At 46.3% G+C, this 19,615-nt stretch overlaps 1 protein-coding gene and 1 pseudogene across 9 annotated transcripts in view, besides 2 other annotated features; both read left to right on the top strand.

The window, feature by feature from the left end:
• Positions 1–11,951, top strand: part of CSMD2 (CUB and Sushi multiple domains 2) — a 651,845-nt gene extending 639,894 nt beyond the window's left edge. For 7 of the 9 annotated variants that reach the window (XM_047443685.1, XM_047443656.1, NM_052896.5 and 4 more), the window contains 6 exons: positions 906–1,067; positions 2,530–2,642; positions 4,399–4,486; positions 5,999–6,137; positions 6,272–6,484; positions 9,379–11,951. In XM_047443685.1, the coding sequence (XP_047299641.1) occupies positions 906–1,067; positions 2,530–2,642; positions 4,399–4,486; positions 5,999–6,137; positions 6,272–6,431 (662 nt within the window). In that variant the 3' untranslated portion in view covers positions 6,432–6,484; positions 9,379–11,951. Of the gene's footprint in view, positions 1–905; positions 1,068–2,529; positions 2,880–4,398; positions 4,487–5,998; positions 6,138–6,271 lie in introns of those variants that run through there. The other 2 variants (XM_017000185.2, XM_047443661.1) reach the window with 2 other exon arrangements.
• Positions 5,824–6,360: an enhancer, noted in NCBI's record as "H3K4me1 hESC enhancer chr1:33985189-33985725 (GRCh37/hg19 assembly coordinates)". NCBI's record gives its function as "activates a minimal SCP1, AML or CMV promoter by ChIP-STARR-seq in naive H9 embryonic stem cells {active_cell/tissue: H9 hESC(naive)}" and the evidence as "EXISTENCE:reporter gene assay evidence [ECO:0000049][PMID:30033119]".
• LOC100422287 (proteasome 20S subunit alpha 3 pseudogene) lies at positions 13,165–14,058 on the top strand (annotated as a pseudogene).
• Positions 15,543–16,451: an enhancer, noted in NCBI's record as "H3K27ac hESC enhancer chr1:33975098-33976006 (GRCh37/hg19 assembly coordinates)". NCBI's record gives its function as "activates a minimal SCP1, AML or CMV promoter by ChIP-STARR-seq in naive H9 embryonic stem cells {active_cell/tissue: H9 hESC(naive)}" and the evidence as "EXISTENCE:reporter gene assay evidence [ECO:0000049][PMID:30033119]".

Here is a 19,615-nt window from a genome sequence, read left to right as displayed (position 1 = left end):
GCTTTGGGAGGCCAAGGTGGGCGGATCACCTGAGGTCAGGAGTTCGAGACCAGCCTGACCAACATGGTGAAACCTCATCTCTACTAAAAATACAAAATTAGCCGGGCATGGTGGTGCATGCCTGTAATCCCAGCTACTTGGGAGGCTAAGGCAGGAGAATTGCTTGAACCTGGGAGGCAGAGGTTGCAGTGAGCCGAGATCACACCATTGCACTCCAGCCTGGGCAACAATAGCAAAACTCCATCTCAACGAAAAAACTACTCTTTCAGCAATTTTGAAATGTACAATACATTCTTATTAACTATAGTCACTATGCCATGCAGTAGATCACCAAAACTCATATCTCCAGTCTAATGGAAACTTTGTACCCTTTGACCATCTCCCCATCACCCTCCACTCTGCCCCAGCCTCTGTAACCATCATTCTACTCTCTACTCCAATGAGTTCAACTTTTTTAGATTCCATATATAAGTGAGATCATATGATATTTATCTTTGTGTGCCTGGCTTATTCCACTTAACATAATGTCCTCCAGTTCATACATGTTGCTGCAAATGAAAGAATTTCCTTCTTTTTAAAAGCTGTCTAGTATTCCATAGTGTATGTATATATACCCTTTTCTTTATTTGTTCATTCATTCACGGACACTTGGGTTGTTTCCCTATCTTGGACATTGTGAATGATGCTGCGATGAACATGGGAGTGGATATTTATCAGTTCCCTCTATCCATCCACTCTGAGACACAAGACGAGAAGAGGCCAGAGCATTCTACCACCTTCCTCACATGGTAGACATTGGGGAAAGGAAACAATCCCAGTGAGTGGGCTGGGATCAGTCATCAGGCTACCCCAATTCTGGCAGCACACACAAAGTCCCTCTCACATCTATTTCTCAATTCCTCTAGTTCCTGGGGATGTTTTTGCCAAGAATTCCCTGTGGAAAGGGGCCTATGAATACCAGGGGAAGAAGCAGCCAGCCATGCTCAGAGTGACTGGCTTCCAAGTTGCCAACAGCAAGGTCAATGCCACCATGATCGACCACAGTGGCGTGGAGCTGCACTTGGCTGGTAAGGAGCAGGCCCCTCTATGAAAGCCGGGAGGATGGATGGGCACACACCCTTGGCAAGGATGAGCCTAATGGCATTGCATCATACTGTCATGCAAGGCTCAGACTTGTCTGGTGGTCAGGGAAGAGGAAGTGTCTATTCATCTTTACATGATAAAGCACTGTGGACTAAAGGGAAATGTTTAAATGGCAAATATTAATAACCTGAATACATAAAGAACTCTTATGAACAAAGAGAAAAGACTGATATCCCTAAACTGAACCAAAAATAGGGGCAGAGACTTCCCAGGATCCCAAGTACAATCAGTCAACAAACAAAAGAAAAAATATTTTTCAGCAATCATCAAAAAAAAAGTAAACTCAAAATGTCATTTTCCACTTACACCATCAACTCAGAGTGTTTTTAAACAATAACACTTAGTGCAGGTCGGGTTCAGCCATGAACGCCAAATTCTAAAATGGTACCATTCTGGGAAAACAATTTGGCGATTTGTGTCAAGATCCTTGAAAATGATTGGACCCATTAATTACATTTCTAACAATTTTTATCATAAGAAGATACGGAGGGAGTCAAACATTTATGAATAAAGGCTGTTCCCATTACAAGGCCATTTGTAGTATATAAAAACTGGAACTAGAAAATTTCCCTAAAATAGAGAAATGGATATTTTAATGATAGTATATCTACTAGATGAAATATTATGCCAGTGTTGAGGGAAATGCATTCATTATAATGTATTTAAAATATGACTCCAGTGTTTTAAAGGAAAATATTACATTCATAAGAAAGAAAACAGGAATAATTTACAGTAACGTGGTTATTTCTTAGTAAGATCAGGAGAGATCATTTTTTCTTCATGCATCTCAGCATTTTCTAAAATTTTCCCAATTTTCAATCTTTCTATAATCAGAAAAAGTAAGTACCTTAGAAAATAAGTGTTTGTTGAATAGATGGATAGATAAGCAAATGTGTGAGTGAATGAACATATTAATGCACAACCCCACATAAAATCCTATCTACGCATTCATACGTGCACACACCTACGCAACTGCAGGATGACATTTGCTCATTTCACACATGATAATAGACATGTTCACATGCTCCCATGCCCAGGACCTCATGAACTATTGCACCCATTGAACTATCTATGCATTAGTGGACAGATTAAAAGACAAAATCATATTCTCACACATGCCTGTGTCAATAGCATCACAACCTCAACCCGGTAATCCAATTATTAACATACATATGCATATATTAATAATTCTTGCATATAACCACGTTCAGCCTACACAAACCCACACTCAACACTACACTTACGACTTAAAGGGATGTGGAGAATGTTTATATCAACATCTACACATGAAATTCCATCCAGAAACTTACACCCACAAACCCACAAATTTGAGTTTTGAAATTTTCCCATATCTTTCATGTGTAACACCTGAACTTTATTTCCCAGGAACTTACAAGAAAGAAGATTTTCATCTCCTACTCCAGGTGTACCAGATTACAGGGCCTGTGGAGATCTTTATGAATAAGTTCAAAGATGATCACTGGGCTTTAGATGGCCATGTAAGTTCAGCAAACTCACCTCCTCCCCTGACTCCCAGATCACTGGCAGGGAAGAGGAGGACAAAAGGGTGTGCAAACCCCTAGGATCAATCTGGCAACTTGGGAGGAGGTTTTCTGTGGGGCCCTGCCTAGGAGCAGCAAGAGGATCCTCATCTGCTAATGAAATAGGCAAAGGAAAAGATTTTAAAAGACAGAAGACTCAGAGTCCAGAGGTTCACCACATTCAAGAGAGTTGGAGTAAGTTCTGTTGTTTGAACAGAAAGCAAGGGATGGAGGTTGGGGGCAGAGGGAATTCAGGCTAGTTGAAGGTATTAATGTGGTGGGTGGGAGCTGGAAGAAGGCAGTGAGTCTCACATGACTACATTGAACTTCTCCTCACACTTGAGGATGCAGATTGTGAGTGATTAACACAGCTTGAGAGACCAGGACATGGCAGAGGGATAGGACTTTCTTGCATTCCCTTGTGGAAAAGACATTCTATTCTAGGGCTTTCTTGAGGTGGAAGCTGGATCTCCAGTGACACTTCTCTGGCCATACCTTCCTATTTCACACATAGTGGAGTTGAGCATAGCATCCCCTACCACGTCCTCCACTTCTCTGTCTTGGATTGCTGGAGCTAGAAGAGAAAGGATAGAATGAAGCGAGAGGTCATGGTAGACCAGAGTAGCAGAGAGCTAGGGAGTCACAGTGCATTCTCATGGACAGGACCAGCTGGTGGAGGACTGTGGCATAGTTGACTTTGCTTTATAAACACATCAGGAGAACCAAGTGGCTTCTCCAGGGGCTGGCACATACAGGTAGTTCCTTGGTAGGCCCAAGGGTATCTGTAGGTCCCCTTCATAATCCAAGTATGGGCCAGCTTCAATCATCGTGGCCCAAAAGCTGTGCAGGAACAATAGACTCCACCATCCAGGAGGGTCAAAGTTGGGACATGGAGCTAGCAGTGCAGGCCAGGGGAAGATGAGGATGGGGATCCAGAGGGCCAGGAACAGCTGGAGCTACTGCCTAGGACGCCAGACAAGCGTCGAGCCTTTTGATAGCCAGCAAGGTGTGTTTGCGGGGACAGCTGCGGAGGGCAGACAGAGGCTGCTCCTAGCCATGGAGCATAGGTTGGGAGTACCCAGGAGCACAGGCATCCTCACAGCATGCCCTCAGCCGCTGCGGCCCCAGACTGCACATTTGGGGGTCTGCATCTGTCACATGAGCATCAGTAGCAGGAGTTATGTCCCCAGCTACGCCCCCTAAAAAATTAATAGCTCTTAGAACTGTGACGAACTCTCCAATACCTTTAATCTGCAAGGGACATTTTCAGCATGGTTCTGTGTGTTCCATAATGCTCCAAAAGGCGGTTTTTCATCACAGTAATAACAGCTACCATGCATGTAAGGCCTATAAATTAAGTGTTCTGAAGTATTTCATCTTTATTAACTCATTTAATCCTTACAGCCACCCTATGACATAGGTACTGTTACTATTCTCATTTTGCACATGACAAACTGAGGCACAGAGAGATTAAGTGATTTGACCAGTAGAAAATAAAATCTTCCTCCTACCTCATACATGTAGCTGGTGCCCCTGCCCCACCCCGGGCTCCCCGGTCACACCCACCCTTGCCTAGGTGTGGGCAGAGAACAAACCCTGTGTGTCAGAGCAGCAGGTCAGTGGGTGACCTGCTGGGCAGCGTGTATGATGAGAGAGGAGTTCTAGATCCTTCCAGCAGCCTCCCACCTGCTCTCTGTGCTCCCCACCATCACAGGTCTCGTCAGAGTCCTCCGGAGCCACCTTCATCTACCAAGGCTCTGTCAAGGGCCAAGGCTTTGGGCAGTTCGGCTTTCAAAGACTGGGTAACTAGTGCTTGTCCCCCGGAAGTGTGGGCCCGGGTGGGTGGGAGAGAAACCGTGTGTGCCGTGGTCAGGTAGAGGACTGGGGAAGTTGAACAGTCTGAGGCGGGGGTGCTTTGGCCTCTTTGGGATCAGGGATGCCTCTTGAGATTCTGACAAAAGCCATGGAATATCTCTCCAAAAGCAAACACATGTGCATAACCCACTCAACCTTTGACAAAGTTTCCTGTTCAGACCTGGAGAGGAGAGCCCCCAACTCCAGGGACATTGGCTCTTAGATACAGCCCCCAGCCACACCCTCCAGCCAGCCCTGGGTGTCACCCCTGCCTCAACAAACAACGACACTGTGGAGTGTCTTAGAGCTCTCAGGGTGCCTTGACTGTGATGTCGTTTCTGCCCTAGCCCAGCCCTAGAAGACTGGTTTTGTGCCCATTTTACAGATAAGAAAACTGAGCATTAAGGCCACTTCCCTCCCTGGTCCTTCCCTGGCCTCTTTACCTAGCGTGCTTCCTGTCATCCATGTCAAACATCCACACCTTGGAGCCTTGTCCTGGCCCAGAGCCTCTGGGTGCCCAGCCTCAGACTCTGGTGGGGGGAGGGGTCTGGTTTCTCAGAAGCAGGGGAGGGGGAAACAGGAGGCAGCCGCAGGTGCGTGACAGCCTCTCTGTACCCCAGGCACTGACACCTCCCATCGCCGGGGCCCTTGCCTGCCAAGGCAGTCCACTCCATGTCCTCTGGCTCCAAGCTCCTGAAAGCTTCTCTGGACTGAGCCACGGTCTGCTCCCACCCTTTCCCACCCACACTGCTCCTCCCCCGGAGTTGTCCCAGCTCTGCCCTCATGAGCTGCATGGACTGAGACCACTGTCTTCCACACAGCACCCTTCACCTACTGCAAGATGGCCAGGCACGCTGCAAAGGCCTTAGAAAATCACAGTTTTTGTTCTGGCTCCACAGCAGACATCCTGTCCCCTCTCAGAGCCCCAGCCCCTCAGTTAGCAGGGTGCCTACTGGGGCCACAGTTTCTACTTGTGTTCTTCTGAGCCTTCCCAGTCTGCAGGGGAGGGTGAGGAAGGAGGAGAGGCAGCCTTTCAGAAGGAGATGCTTCAGCTTCAACCAGAACAGTTTCACCTTCATCTGTCTTATATTTTGTTGTGCCTGTAAGGTTTCATCTGATAAAAGGCTGCTACAGCCAAAAGAACTTTAGAGACTTCTAAAGGGCTGCACCCTTGTAAGAGTTTCTGTTGAGCCATGGTTTCAGGCTCCTCTGCGGATGGTCCTCTGGGTGCCATCTGAGCAGCACAAGGTAGATGCATGCAGGACCCTGCCCCCAAGGACTGAGTGTGCACGTGGAGGCAGGCGGGCAGCCCTGGGCACACCTGCCTCCCGTGCTGAGCAGGAGTGAGGAGCACCCTGAGTGGCAGCCCTGCTTCCCAAGAGTGTATAGTCGGGGAGGGTAGCCAACGGAGCCTCAGACTGTGTCTCGTGACTTGACTTTTCTGCTTTGGGACTTTACAGACCTCAGGCTGCTGGAGTCAGACCCCGAGTCCATTGGCCGCCACTTTGCTTCCAACAGCAGCTCAGTGGCAGCCGCGATCCTGGTGCCTTTCATCGCCCTCATTATTGCGGGCTTCGTGCTCTATCTCTACAAGCACAGGTACCGTGCAGGAAGGAGGCAGGGCGGGCATCAGGCAGGCCTCCCTCTCTCCCTCCAGGGCCCCCCGCACCAGACCCCTAAGCCTCTCTGTGTCGCTCTTTTCATGCCGTGGGCACTTCCTCTTTTATCGCCAGGAGAAGACCCAAAGTTCCTTTCAATGGCTATGCTGGCCACGAGAACACCAATGTTCGGGCCACATTTGAGAACCCAATGTACGACCGCAACATCCAGCCCACAGACATCATGGCCAGCGAGGCGGAGTTCACAGTCAGCACAGTGTGCACAGCAGTATAGCCACCCGGCCTGGCCGCCACCACCGCCACCGAGAGCCCCGCCTCCAGCAGCCGGTGAGCAGGGGTGTGGGAGGAAGACAGGCCATGACAAGCACAGACAGGGACCTATGCGTGCCAGGGGCTCCACCCAACGGAGTCGCACACACCACATAGACACACCCAGTAAGAGGAGAGCTGTGCATTGAGCATCATTGTGTAACAGGCACTGAACCAGGCCCTTTGTGGATCTAATATATTGAATCCCTGCACGCCCTGTGAGGTAGAAGCTTGTGGGAGCCCCATTACAGATGAGAAAACTGAGCTGCATAGAAACTAACTTGAGCAAGGTCACACAGCTCAGAAGGGGTGGGGTCGAAATCCAATCCCAGGCTGACTGGCTCCAGAAACTGCTCCTCACCCCTGGGCTTGGCAGAACATCGGCATGTACTAGTCTGTTTCTCTCTAGAGAAACAGAACCAACTGGATATATACATCCTCTGGGTCGAAGTCAAGCCCTGGAGATCTGTAGAGCTATACAGAGATGCACATATATCTGTGTATATAGGTATATTGTGTATATATATACATTCATACACTATAAACGCAATACATATACCCCATATCAAGATATATCCATACCTATCCATCTATATATAGATACGCATCTCCGTAGAGCTATATGTAAATGTTATATAGAGATAGAAATATAAATAAATATATATTTAGAGAGAGAGATTCATCTAAGGAATTGGCTGGCAAGGTGGAAATCTAAAGGGCAGGCCAGCAGGCTAGAAATTCCAGCAGGAGTTGATGCTGTCATCTTGAGTCCAAAAGCAGTCAGAGACGGAATTCCTTCCTCTTTGGAGCACCTCAGTCTTTTTCTTAAGGCCTTCAGCTGATTGAACGAGGCCCACACACATTATGGAGACTCAAAGTCTACTGATTTCAAAGTTAATTTTATCTAAAAAGATACCTTCACAGCAATATCCAGATTGGTGTTTGACCCATCAACTGAGCACCATAGCCTAGGCAGGTTTACTTACAAAATTCCCCACATTGAGCACAACAGAGGGGAGGAGCTCCCGGAAATATAGACAGGGGGCAGACACACCCACACGTGTACACGGTCATGCACACACACACACACACATACGCATACATGCACACAGGCATGCATCTGACAGGCCCACTGGGAAGGAACTGATGAATCTAAAAGGCACTGCCTCTTCCTCACTGTGTCCTCCTTCGATGACACCCTCACCTCTGGGACCTATGACCCTTCAGGAGTTGCCCCAACACGATGTCCAAGCTGCACCCCTCTGAGAACTGTCTTCTCCCACACATCCCGCTTTCTGGGGATAGGCAGGTGCCCCCTCTCAGGTCCTGTGCTGAAGGACTCTGGGGAGAAGAGTCACAGAGCCAGCCAGGTAGGGATTCCCAGTGAGGGCGGTGGAAAATCCGCCAAGTGGGCCACCAGCCAAACCCAGGGCTAGTGTTGCGCTCCCTCCCCACGCTCCTGTGCATGGCCGCTCACGTGGCAGATTCTCCCAGCCACACACAAATGGCAGTGCAGCGAGGAAACAGGCTTTTATGAGGGTGCCTGCAAAGGCCACCAACAGAGATGGTGGGGACAGTTCCTGCGGAGGGGGTTACAAGAGCAGCAAATGTCATTATCACTGCCCAGCCCCTGACGTGCTTTACTCCCTTTCTGCCTCACAACTCCTGGAGGATTTCACAGTTTCAGCCTGAGTCCCAGATGGTGAGTGAGTCAGGGACTCAGCAGATGCAGCTCCTGAATACAAACAATTTATGGAAAGAGCTTTTCCCCATCTTTTTACGTCTCTCCAAAACAAACATTTAAATAAGGGTTCCCCCTTATTCCAGTGGGATTGTTTTAGCATGCCAAAATTACTCCTCAAGTTTCATCTGTATGCCCAATCTTTATTTTTTCCTTCTCAGAACTCTTATCAATAGAAGGCAAAAGAGAAAAAGAAAAATCCCCTCTGATGATGTAAATCGGGGCTTGGAGATGATCAGTGATGAATCTGATTCACTGCATGAATTATTGAACAGTGTAAGAAAGAAACAAGAATGCCGCTGACCTCCACACAGTCACTCTTGCTCCACACCTGGGTTCTGCTGGGTTCCAGGTGCTGGTGTGCGCCATGCTGTCACCTCCGGGTCGGCTGGGGTTGGTGGCTCCACATCTGGCCAGCCCTCAGCATTGGCCCCTTGCCAGCAGGCTCTGAACCCACTGCCCAGCCCACAGGTCTCCAGCAGGGCCCCTCTGACCACTTCTGCCCACAGCTGGAGCATAAAGAAAGCAAGAGCCACCCTGAACAGACACACACACATTGCAAATGAGTGACTAGATGGTAATTTTTTTTTAAATAATGCCAAGGAGAAAAGCTGAAATTAAAATAAACACCCTACTAAGGAAGCAACGAGGCCTGTGCGGTCAGTGAGTAACAGGGCGGGGGAACAGGGCTGTGTGATGATGTTTGCCAACCCTTCCTCCATTAAAAAAAAGTATCAAAAATGAGATTTCACAACTGTGTCACTACAAAAATGAATATAATCCAGCCTGGATTCTTTATTACAGAGCCATTATTATCCTAGTCATTTTTTTTTTTTCATCTGATTTTGAAAGAAACTAAAATTAGAATGTTTTCCTGGGTTCCTAAAAGTATGGTGGCCCCCAAGCACTGGGCCTCCAGGTCTAATGGCGAAGTTGGCCCTGCAAGGGAAAAAGACAGAAAAATACATGTTCTGCTGCACGTATTCCCTACCTACCCCCATCCCCAACCTGGGAAGATTAAAAATCAAAGTGAAGATTGAGGTGACTCATCTCTTTCCCGCTTGTGCCTTCTTTTCTTTGCCGCTTTGCTTTTCCTCCTCTGCTCCCGGCCCCTCCCCTCCCACTGCCTCTTTTTTCTTTGCAAACTCAGGTGTGATCTGTTTGTTCCCAGTTCCCCAGGGGGCAGGAAGTAGGCTCCCCTGAGCACAGTGCCCAGTGCCCATCTTCGTTCGTCTCCTTGCCTGTGTCTGCTACTGCTGGGACTCAGGCCCTCGCCCTGCCGCCATCTATGCCAGTTACCCTGGAGAGGACTCCTGCCGTGTCCTGAAAAGGCAGAAAAGGAAGAGGGGCTGCAGACAGAGGAAGAAAGTTTATGGATTTAAAATAGCAAAGCAACTTGTGGATCTGTGTGTGTGTGTGTGTGTATGGGCCTGATCACACACAAACACACACACCTCTCCTTCATTCACGTCCTATGGAAGAGACCATAAAGGCTTCAAAACTAGAAGTGCGCATGAAGGATGCTTCATGCCCTGTTCCCCACACAGAGAAGAGATGAAGAGGGGGAGGTACGGTCAGCTTTCAAAACAATATGCCCCCCGCCCATCCCATGTGTGAGGACATGGTGACTCGGTGACTGTAACAGTAGGACACATCCCATCATGCGGTCAGAGTGCAGAAACCCGGTCAGCGTGCAGAAACCAGCTGTCTGCTGATGAACGGCCCATCTGCACAGCGGCAGCAAGGATTACCCCAAGGGCAGGAAAAAAGTCTTTGGAAATAGATTGAAAATCAGTTTCTTTATTTTTTTCAAACACTGTTTTATTGAGTTCTAAACCCAGTGGATTAAAAAGTCATTTGGGTCCTGGGAAGCACTGGGAAAGAAGGGAGAGCCGGGGAGGATAGGGCAGGAGTCTGGCCAGGAGCCCAAGGTCAAGTCTGGCTGTCAACTGACAAAGAGAAGAGAAGACAAGTCTGTGGCCCAGACAGGATGCCAAGTCTGGGGGCAGCAGCAGGGTCCTTGAGAGAACAGGGGAGCAAGCCTGCCCCAGTACCCAAAAAACAATGGCTATCATGTACTGGGGTTATTCTCTGTGCCTGACACTTTACCTGTAGTATTTCTAGTCTGCACAATAACACCAAAATGTAGGATTTGTTATTCCCCTTTGACAGATGAGAAAACAGAAGCCTGCAAAGGTAAAGACAGAGTTAGGAAGTGTGGAGTCAGAATGCAAACCCAGATCAGTCTGCCCCAAAGTCCACTACACCAGCTGCCAGAAACCCTGTTCTAGAAGGGGCAGCTAAGAAGGGAGGAGCCGATGAATCTCTACAGTAGCACTGTGGCCAGGTCTGGAAAGCCAGGCAAGACACCTGTGTGTCCTATCTGGGTTCTGCTGTCTCCGCGTAGGCAGCTTCGGGGCAAGGATTCAACTCCCCAGGCCTCCCACGGTTGGTGCTGGCTCCTTGGCTCCCAGCAGCCGCTGACCATAGCCAGCAAAAGACCTGGCAGGTCCTGAATCAAAACAACAGAGTGGCTGAAAGTCACACCTCTCCAGCTCCTTGCGAGTGGGTTTGATTGATTTTGACAGCTATATCATGCTTGGGTCGTTCATGAATTCCATGAGAATTGTTGGGAAGTTCATGAGTTTAGGAATCAAAGTATAGCATTTAGGGCCACTTTCTCTGTCCTCGGGAAGGCCCCCACAAGCTTAAGCCCCTGTATACGTGTGACATGCTGGCCTCAGAGATTCATGTCACATATTGAAATAGCAAATAGAAATGTGCAGGAGCGGAGGGACAGCGACACCTGGTTCTTAAGCAAATTCTAGATTGGAACAATTAGAAGATCTGACTGATGTTAAGAGTGGCCAGAGGAAAGTGAGAGGCGTCCATTTCCAGCAGACACAATGGAGGCTGACAGAGGCAGGAGCCTACCCCTGGCCACACCACCTCTGGGACACGGCACCCCCCTGGGCCTGGAGGGAGAGGGCCAATCCAGACACACTCACACTCTCATCTCTTTCCTTGGCTGGAAACAAGTGCAGGAAGCTCCCCTCCCAATTTCTTATGCTCCCTTCCCCCTTACACTCCTCTCCTTCGACTGCTCCCTTCCCCCTTCTTATGCCCCTCTCAGACCACCCAGCGGATGCCTATTCCCGCCCCCCACCCCTCCCCTGCGTCTCCTTGTAAAGTTCCATGAGATGCTCGAGGAGCACCTGCTGGTGGGGCACCCAGCACTCTGCTGGGCATCACCCTCCGCACCCCTGACATTTCTCTCCACCTCCAGAGGCTTGGAAGGGAACAGGGCAGATGAGGCCCTTCACCCACCATCTACGCCATATACCCATCACCATCCCATGAGGAAAAAAAAAAAAGTAAAACAAAGACAAAAAAAATCTTTTGTACAGAGATATATTTTTATTATACAAAGTTTGTACAGTACCAAAAAAGAAAAAAAAAAAGGTGTAAATTTTTTTTTCATTATTGTAGGTAAACGGTAGTGGAAGCCTTTTTTGTAAATGTAATAAAATGTATAAATATGGTTTTCAGAAAACATCAAGTGCTGTAAATATGTAATCTACACACCTTCTTGGCTTGTCTGCAGTATATACATTTAATTTATCTGTCTCTGTATATGAGGCTTCCCCCTGGGGTCCTGCATTATGGTACTTTCCTGAATTTGAAAGCAATTTTAAATTTTTTGAATTCAAATAAAATATAAATTTTTGCATTGGTTTTCTTACATTTTTATGGCCTCTTTCATGACTAGGGGCAAGTGTTTGTTGGGAAAGGGAAAGAAGGACATATTTTCGCCTAAAATCCAAGGGTAGAAATATGGGAGTCCATTTCTTAACTGCATTGTGTTATCACTGCTACATGTTGGAAACTCTGAGCAAAAATGATAGTGCATACCCCACATAAAAAAAGTTAACTCAAAATGGATCAAAGACCTAAACATAAGCCCTAAAATTATAAAATGCTTACAAGAAAACGTACGTGGAAAACTTCATGACATTAGATTTGGCAGTGATCTCCTGCATATGACATCAAACGTATAGGCAACAAAAGAAAAAACAGATAAACTGGACTACATCAAAATTCACAACTTCTGTATATCAAAAGATACAATCAACAGAGTGAAAAGGCAAGCTATAGAATGGGAGAAAATATTTGCACATCATATATCTGATAAGGGGTTAATATTGAGACTCTATAAAGAACTCTTATGAAAGACTTGAACAGTCATTTCTCCAAAGAAAATATACAAATGGCCAACAAGCACACGAAAAAATGCTCAACGTTACTAATCATTAGGGAAATAATCAAAGCCACAATGAGATGCCACCTCACACCCATTAGAATGGCTACTATCAAAAAACAATAAGTGTTGGTGAGGATGTGGAGAAATTGGAACCCTGGTGCCCCATTGGTGGGAATGTAAAAAGGTGCAGTCACTATGGAAAACAGTATGGCGATTTCTCAAAACATCAAAAATAGAATTACCATATTGTCTAGCAGTTCTACTTCTGAATATATACCCAAAAGAGTTGAAAGCAGGGTCACAAAAAGATATGTTAATAGCGGCATTTATTAACAAATGCCAAAAAGTAGAAGGAACCCAAATGTCCATCAACAGATGAATGGATAAACAAAATGTGGTACATATGTACAATGGAATATTATTCAGCCTTAAAAAAGAAGGAAACTCTGACCCATACTGCAACATGGATGAACCTTGAGGATGTTATGCTAAGTGAAATAAGCCAGTCACAAAAAAAAAAAAAAAAAAAAAAAACAACCAGATACTATGTGATTCTATTTATAAAAGCTACCTTGAGTCATCAAATTCATACAGAAAGTAGAATGGTGGTTGCCAGGGACTAGGGGGAGGAAAGGATGGGGAGTTACTGTTTAATTAGTATAAAGTTTCAGTTTTATAAGATGAAAAGTTTCTGGAGGCCTGGAAGCCCTACGCGTTCTACTGGTTTTAAAACAAAGAGCTCAATTGACACCAGGTATGACTTGTCAGTCTCTACATTCTCTCCTGATGGAAGAGTTTTTTGAGTTGAATATGCTGTGAAGGCTGTGGAAAATAGTACAGCCACTGGACTCAGATGTAAAGATGGTGGTGGCTTTGGGGTAGAAAAGGGAGTCTTCCTAAACTTTATGAAGAAGGCTCCAACAAAAGACTTTTTAATATTGATTGGCATGTTGGAATGGTGGTAGCAGGTTTGTTGACAGATGCCCCTTCTTTGGCAGATATAACAAGAGAAGACGCTTCCAACTTTAGATCTAGCTTTGGCTATACCATTCCACAAAAACATCTTGCAGACACAGTTGCCATGCATATACACTCTGCAGTGCTGTTAGACCTTTTGGCTGCAGTTTTACAGTAGGGTCTTACAGCGTGAACAACAGGGCACAATTCTGCAAGATGTTTCGTATGGTTATTGGGGCTGTACCCTTGGCAAAGCCAGGCACGCTGCAAAGATAGAAAATAGAAAAGCTTCAGGTGAAAGAAATGACCTGCCATGTTATTGTTAAGAAGTTGCAAAAATATTTACATAGTATATGATGAAGTTAAGAATAAACCTTTTAAATTAGAACTCAGCAGGGTTGGTGAATTAACTAAAGGAAGAAGACATGAAATTATTCCAAAAGATATAAGGGAAGAAGAAGAGAAACATGCCAAGGAATCTTTGAAGGAAGAAGATGAATCAGATGATGACAATATATAACATTTACTCCAGCATCTATTCTATTTTAAATTTCTGCTACAGTCCCAGGTTAACATTTAGCCCCCTGTGGATTATACACACTCACTAACCAATTTTCATTAAATGTTTGTATTGTGAAAAAGGAGAAAGAAAAGTTCTGGAGATTGCACAATTACGTGAATATACTTAATGTACTTGATGCCACTTAACAATGGTTAAGATGATCAATTTTATGTTATATATATTTTACCACAATACAATTTTTTTTAATTTATAGTGGAGGCCACATCAGCTCAGACCAAGAACCTGGGGACAAAGAAGTTGCTCCCCTCAGGGCTGGAGTTTGGCTTGGACTGAGGAGCTCAGGATCTGAGGACCGCGGTCTAAGGGCAGGTGGGCTTAGGCAGTAGAAACTCCATAGCAGAGAAAAGCCAAATCAAGGAGGGTCATCCAGGCAAGACAGTCATGAGAGGAGTGGTGAGGAAGAAGAGGAAAGAACTGGCAAGAGCTAGTAGGAGCCTATCCTTTCTTAAATGTACTATGCATTTGTTAGCAGTCATCATTTTAGGTGGAAAATTCATCCAGACTACCTTCAGTTTTCTGACTCCCACTACCCTTCACTTTTGCACTGTACCTCGGCTCCAGCTGCCCCCCTTGTCACCTCAATAACCTGATTTAGACCAACATTCCCAGTTTTTTGTTTTTGTTTTTTTTGAGACACAGTCTCACTCTGTCGCCCAGGCTAGAGTGCAGTGGCACAATCTCGGCCCACTGCAACCTCCACCTCCCGGGTTCAAGTGATTTTCCTGCCTCAGCCACCGGAGTAGGTGGGATTACAGGCACGCGCCACCATGCCTGGCTAATTTTTGTATTTTTTTTTTTTTGTAGAAACGGGGTTTCAGCATGTTGGCCAGGCTGGTCTCGAACTCCTAACCTCAGGTGATCCACCCGCCTCAGCCTCCCAAAGTGCTGGGATTACAGGCGTGAGCCACCGCGCCTGGCCCCCAGTTTTAATAAAGGCATTCCATCTTGGACACGCTGCCTGGCATTTCTCTCCTGGACACAGGGAATCAGCAGGGTGGGTGTAGTCCTCCCACTGGAACCTCAGGTAGCTTGGCAGGGATTCAGGGTCAGGAATTGGACTGTTGTCCAACACAAGCTCCGGTTGGATTGGGAATCAAGAGAGCAAGGGAGCAAATATTAAGTCTAAGTTCAGAAGACAAGTTCATACCAGCATGCAAATATGCAAACACTTTATAAGAAAATAGCAGATGGGCTGGGCACAGTGGCTCATGCCTGTAATCCCAGCACTTTGGGAGGCCAAGGCTGGTGGATCACTTGAGGCCAGGAGTTCGAGACCATCCTGGCCAACATGGCAAAACTCTGTCCCTACTAAAAATAAAGGAGAAAAAAGAAAGGAAGAAAAGAGCAGATTGCTGGACACCACATAGAGTGGGGAAAGACTTCCAAACATCAGGCCAGGACAAGTTTTCATAAGCCGTAGGGCATAGATAGAGGGGGCAAGCCCAAACTACAATGCCTGTGAGACAAGCTGCACCCCACAAGATCTACCTATACCAAGAGAACAGAGTGTCCCTGAACTAAGAAATCAAATAAACACTAACACCACTCCATTCCCTCACTCCAGCAGAAGCACCTGTTATTGCTGGTCTAGGAAAATCCTACACATTTCTTTTCTCACGGACAAAAAGGGTTCATGGACATATCTTCAAAGCTTCTATAAGAATAAAACAGCTCTCCCTCTCCCTCTCCCTCTCCCTCTCCCTCTCTCTCTCCCTCTCCCTCTCCCTCTCCCTCTCTCTCTCCCTCTCCCTCTCCCCACGGTCTCCCTCTCCCTCTCCCCACGGTCTCCCTCTCCCTCTCTTTCCACGGTCTCCCTCTGATGCCCAGCCGAAGCTGGACTGTACTGCTGCCATCTCAGCTCACTGCAACCTCCCTGCCTGATTCCCCTGCCTCAGCCTGCCGAGTGCCTGCGATTGCAGGCGCGCACCGCCACGCCTGACTGGTTTTCGTATTTTTTTGGTGGAGACGGGGTTTCGCTGTGTTGGCCGGGCTGGTCTCCAGCTCCTAACCGCGAGTGATCCGCCAGCCTCGGCCTCCCGAGGTGCCGGGATTGCAGACAGAGTCTCGTTCACTCAGTGCTCAATGGTGCCCAGGCTGGAGTGCAGTGGCGTGATCTCGGCTCGCTACAACCTCCACCTCCCAGCAGCCTGTCTTGGCCTCCCAAAGTGCCGAGATTGCAGCCTCTGCCCGGCTGCCACCCCGTCTGGGAAGTGAGGAGCGTCTCTGCCTGGCCGTCCATCGTCTGGGATGTGAGGAGCCCCTCTGCCTGGCTGCCCAGTCTGGGAAGTGAGGAGCGCCTCTTCCCGGCGCCATCCCATCTAGGAAGTGAGGAGCGTCTCTGCCTGGCCGCCCATCGTCTGAGATGTGGGGAGTGCCTCTGCCCCGCCGCCCTGTCTGGGATGTGAGGAGTGCCTCTGCCCGGCCGCGACCCCGTCTAGGAGGTGAGGAGCATCTCCACCTGGCCGCCCCGTCTGAGAAGTGAGGAGCCCCTCTGCCCAGCAGCTGCCCCGTCTGAGAAGTGAGGAGCCCCTCCGCCCGGCAGCCACCCCATCTGGGAAGTGAGGAATGTCTCCGCCCGGCAGCCACCCCGTCTGGGAGGGAGGTGAGGGTCAGCCCCCGCCCAGCCAGCCGCCCCGTCCCGGAGGGAGGTGGGGGGGGGGGGGTCAGCCCCTGCCCGGCCAGCCGCCCCGTCCGGGAGGTGGGGGGCACCTCTGCCCGGCCGCCCCTTCTGGGAAGTGAGGAGCCCCTCTGCCCGGCCACCACCCCGTCTGGGAGGTGTACCCAACAGCTCATTGAGAACGGGCCATGATGACAATGGCGGTTTTGTGGAATAGAAAAGGGGGAAAGGTGGGGAAAAGATTGAGAAATCAGATGGTTGCTGTGTCTGTGTAGAAAGAAGTAGACATGGGAGACTTTTCATTTTGTTCTGTACTAAGAAAAATTCTTCTGCCTTGGGATCCTGTTGATCTATGACCTTACTCCAACCCTGTGCTCTCTGAAACATGTGCTGTGTCCACTCAGGGTTAAATGGATTAAGGGCGGTGCAAGATGTGCTTTGTTAAACAGATGCTTGAAGGCAGCATGCTCGTTAAGAGTCATCACCACTCCCTAATCTCAAGTACCCAGGGACACAAACACTGCGGAAGGCCGCAGGGTCCTCTGCCTAGGAAAACCAGAGACCTTTGTTCACTTGTTTATCTGCTGACCTTCCCTCCACTATTGTCCTATGACCCTGCCAAATCCACCTCTGCGAGAAACACCCAAGAATGATCAATAAAAAAAAAAAAAAAAAAAAAAAAAGAATAAAACAGAAAATGAGTAGTAAAGACATTGTAACTTGGGTATATATCTAAGAGTGGAAAAGAGAAAAAAAGCAAAGAAAAGAAAACATTGTAACTAATTAAAATACTCCCCTAAAAAATAAAGGAAAGGAAAACTTTTTTTAAAGCATCCCAACATTAATTAAATATAATCAAGCAATTGTAAATATTAACATGTAATACAAACCAGAAGCTTGAAAACTCAGGATACAAATAGACATAAAACAGGAAGAAATAAATGACAGCTTACAATAAAAGAACAAGCATATCTCAGAAATGAAGAGCAAAGTGCAAAGTGTTCAATGGGTAACATACAGAAAGAAAGTATAATAAAGCACATACAGGAAGAAAACTTAAATATCTAAGAAAACAGAAGTTATGTAAAGAGCTAAAAAATATGAGACTGAAAGTGATAAAAGGGCACTTTGGGAGGCCAAGGCAGGCGGGTGGATCACTTGAGGCCAGGAGTTCAAGACCAGCCTGGCCAAAATGGCAAAACCCCAGTTCTACCAAAAAATACAAAAATTAGCCAAGCATGGTGGCACGTGCCTGTAGTCCCAGCTACTGGGAGAGTGAGGCAGGAGAATCGCTTGAACTCGAGAGGTGGAGGTTGCACTGAGCTGAGATTGTGCCACTGCACTCCAGCCTGGGCAAAAAAGCGAGACCCCCAGCTCAAAAAAAAAGAAAAAGAAAAATAAAGAAAGAAGGAAAGAAAGAAGGAAGGAAGGAAAGAGAAAAAGAGGAAAGAAAGAAGAGAAAGAAAAAAAAGAAAGAAAAAGAAAGAAAGAAAGAAAGAAAGATAAAAGACAGGCAAAGCAAGCCAATTTATGTACAATAGGAGTCCCTAAAGAAGAAAACCTAAATAAATTAGACAGAATTAATATTTAAAATTATACTCTAGGAAAACTATTTAGAACTAAAAGAAAAACTTAACATATATATTGAAAGGTCCACCAGGTTCCTGGGAAAATTATCCTGCAATGCTCAGCTCCAAGACAAACCCCAGTCAAACTGTAAGATTTTAAAGAAAAATAAAACATTCTCTGAGCCTCCAGATTAAATTAGGTTGCTATCAGATTTCTTAACAGCCACACACAAAGCAAAACTGAAGGAAAGAAAGTACAAACCAAGAATTTTATATGCAGTGATTTTTATGCATCAAGACAATGAGAACACAGTAATGAATATTCAAGAATTCAGGAATATTTTCCTCAGGAGCCCTTCCTGAAGAATCTACTGGGAGGACAAGTTTTAACCAACCAAATGATAGTTAAGGAATTTCAACAACAGGACTGATGTTAAGAATTGAAAACTGCATATTGAAATCTACAATGAAGATGAAAATAAAGACCGAAGAATAGTATGTAAATGTCCTAGGTTCTGACAAAGTGGAGATAACATGATTTTTTAATGGGAAGAGAAAGAGAAAGGGGAAAGTAAAGTGACCCCACTCGTTGCCACACAGATAACAGGTGGGAGTCAAAGACCATCTAAAGGTTTCCCAAACTTGGCAGTATGGACATTTTGGGCCAGATGATTTTTTTGTTGTAGGGCCTGGCTGTCCTGTGTGTTATAGGATGTTTAGCGGCATCCCTGGCCTCTGCCCAATAGATGCACACCTCTCCCAGTTGTGACAACCAAAAATACTTCCAGACATTGCCTAGTGTCTTCTGGGGAATAAAATGGATACACTCCCCCCACCTCTGTTGAAAGTCATTGATCAACAGATGCACTGGTTGAGAACCAGTTAATAAAACAGTTAGAACCTAAGTAGAAAAAAGAGGACTAAGGACATTTATAAATATATTAATATAAAAGTAATTACTAGAAGAAAATATAAATTTTGCCAAATACTAATACATATATTTTTAAGTACTCCAAAAAAACACACTGTGAAAGAACCAGTAAATATGACAAATGCACCAAGTAAATACAATACAAAATAATATGACAGACCTGAAAACAAACGTAGCCACTATATTATTAAATATAATTAGGTTTAATTATAAAGATGTTCAGATTATCTCACAAAATAAAACTTGACTCTGTGCTATCACAAGAGGCATACCTAAACAAAGTGATTCAAAATGGCTTAAATACCATGTATTGAAATCTAAAGCAAAGCAAAGCAAAGGAATAACAGGCATACGCAAACAAGAAAACAGGAATCACCATCCTCACACCAGATAAGTTAGAATTCAGGGCCAAAGGCATGAAAGAGGACAAGGAAGGACACTTTACAGCACTAAAGGAGATTATTCACAATGAAGATATAACAGATATCGAT

The sequence above is a fragment of the Homo sapiens genome, chromosome 1 (genome assembly GCF_000001405.40).
Source record: "Homo sapiens chromosome 1, GRCh38.p14 Primary Assembly".
Classification (NCBI taxonomy): domain Eukaryota; kingdom Metazoa; phylum Chordata; class Mammalia; order Primates; family Hominidae; genus Homo; species Homo sapiens.
The sequence above is the reverse complement of the archived record's forward strand: the minus strand, read 5'-3'. Positions and strand labels throughout refer to the sequence as shown.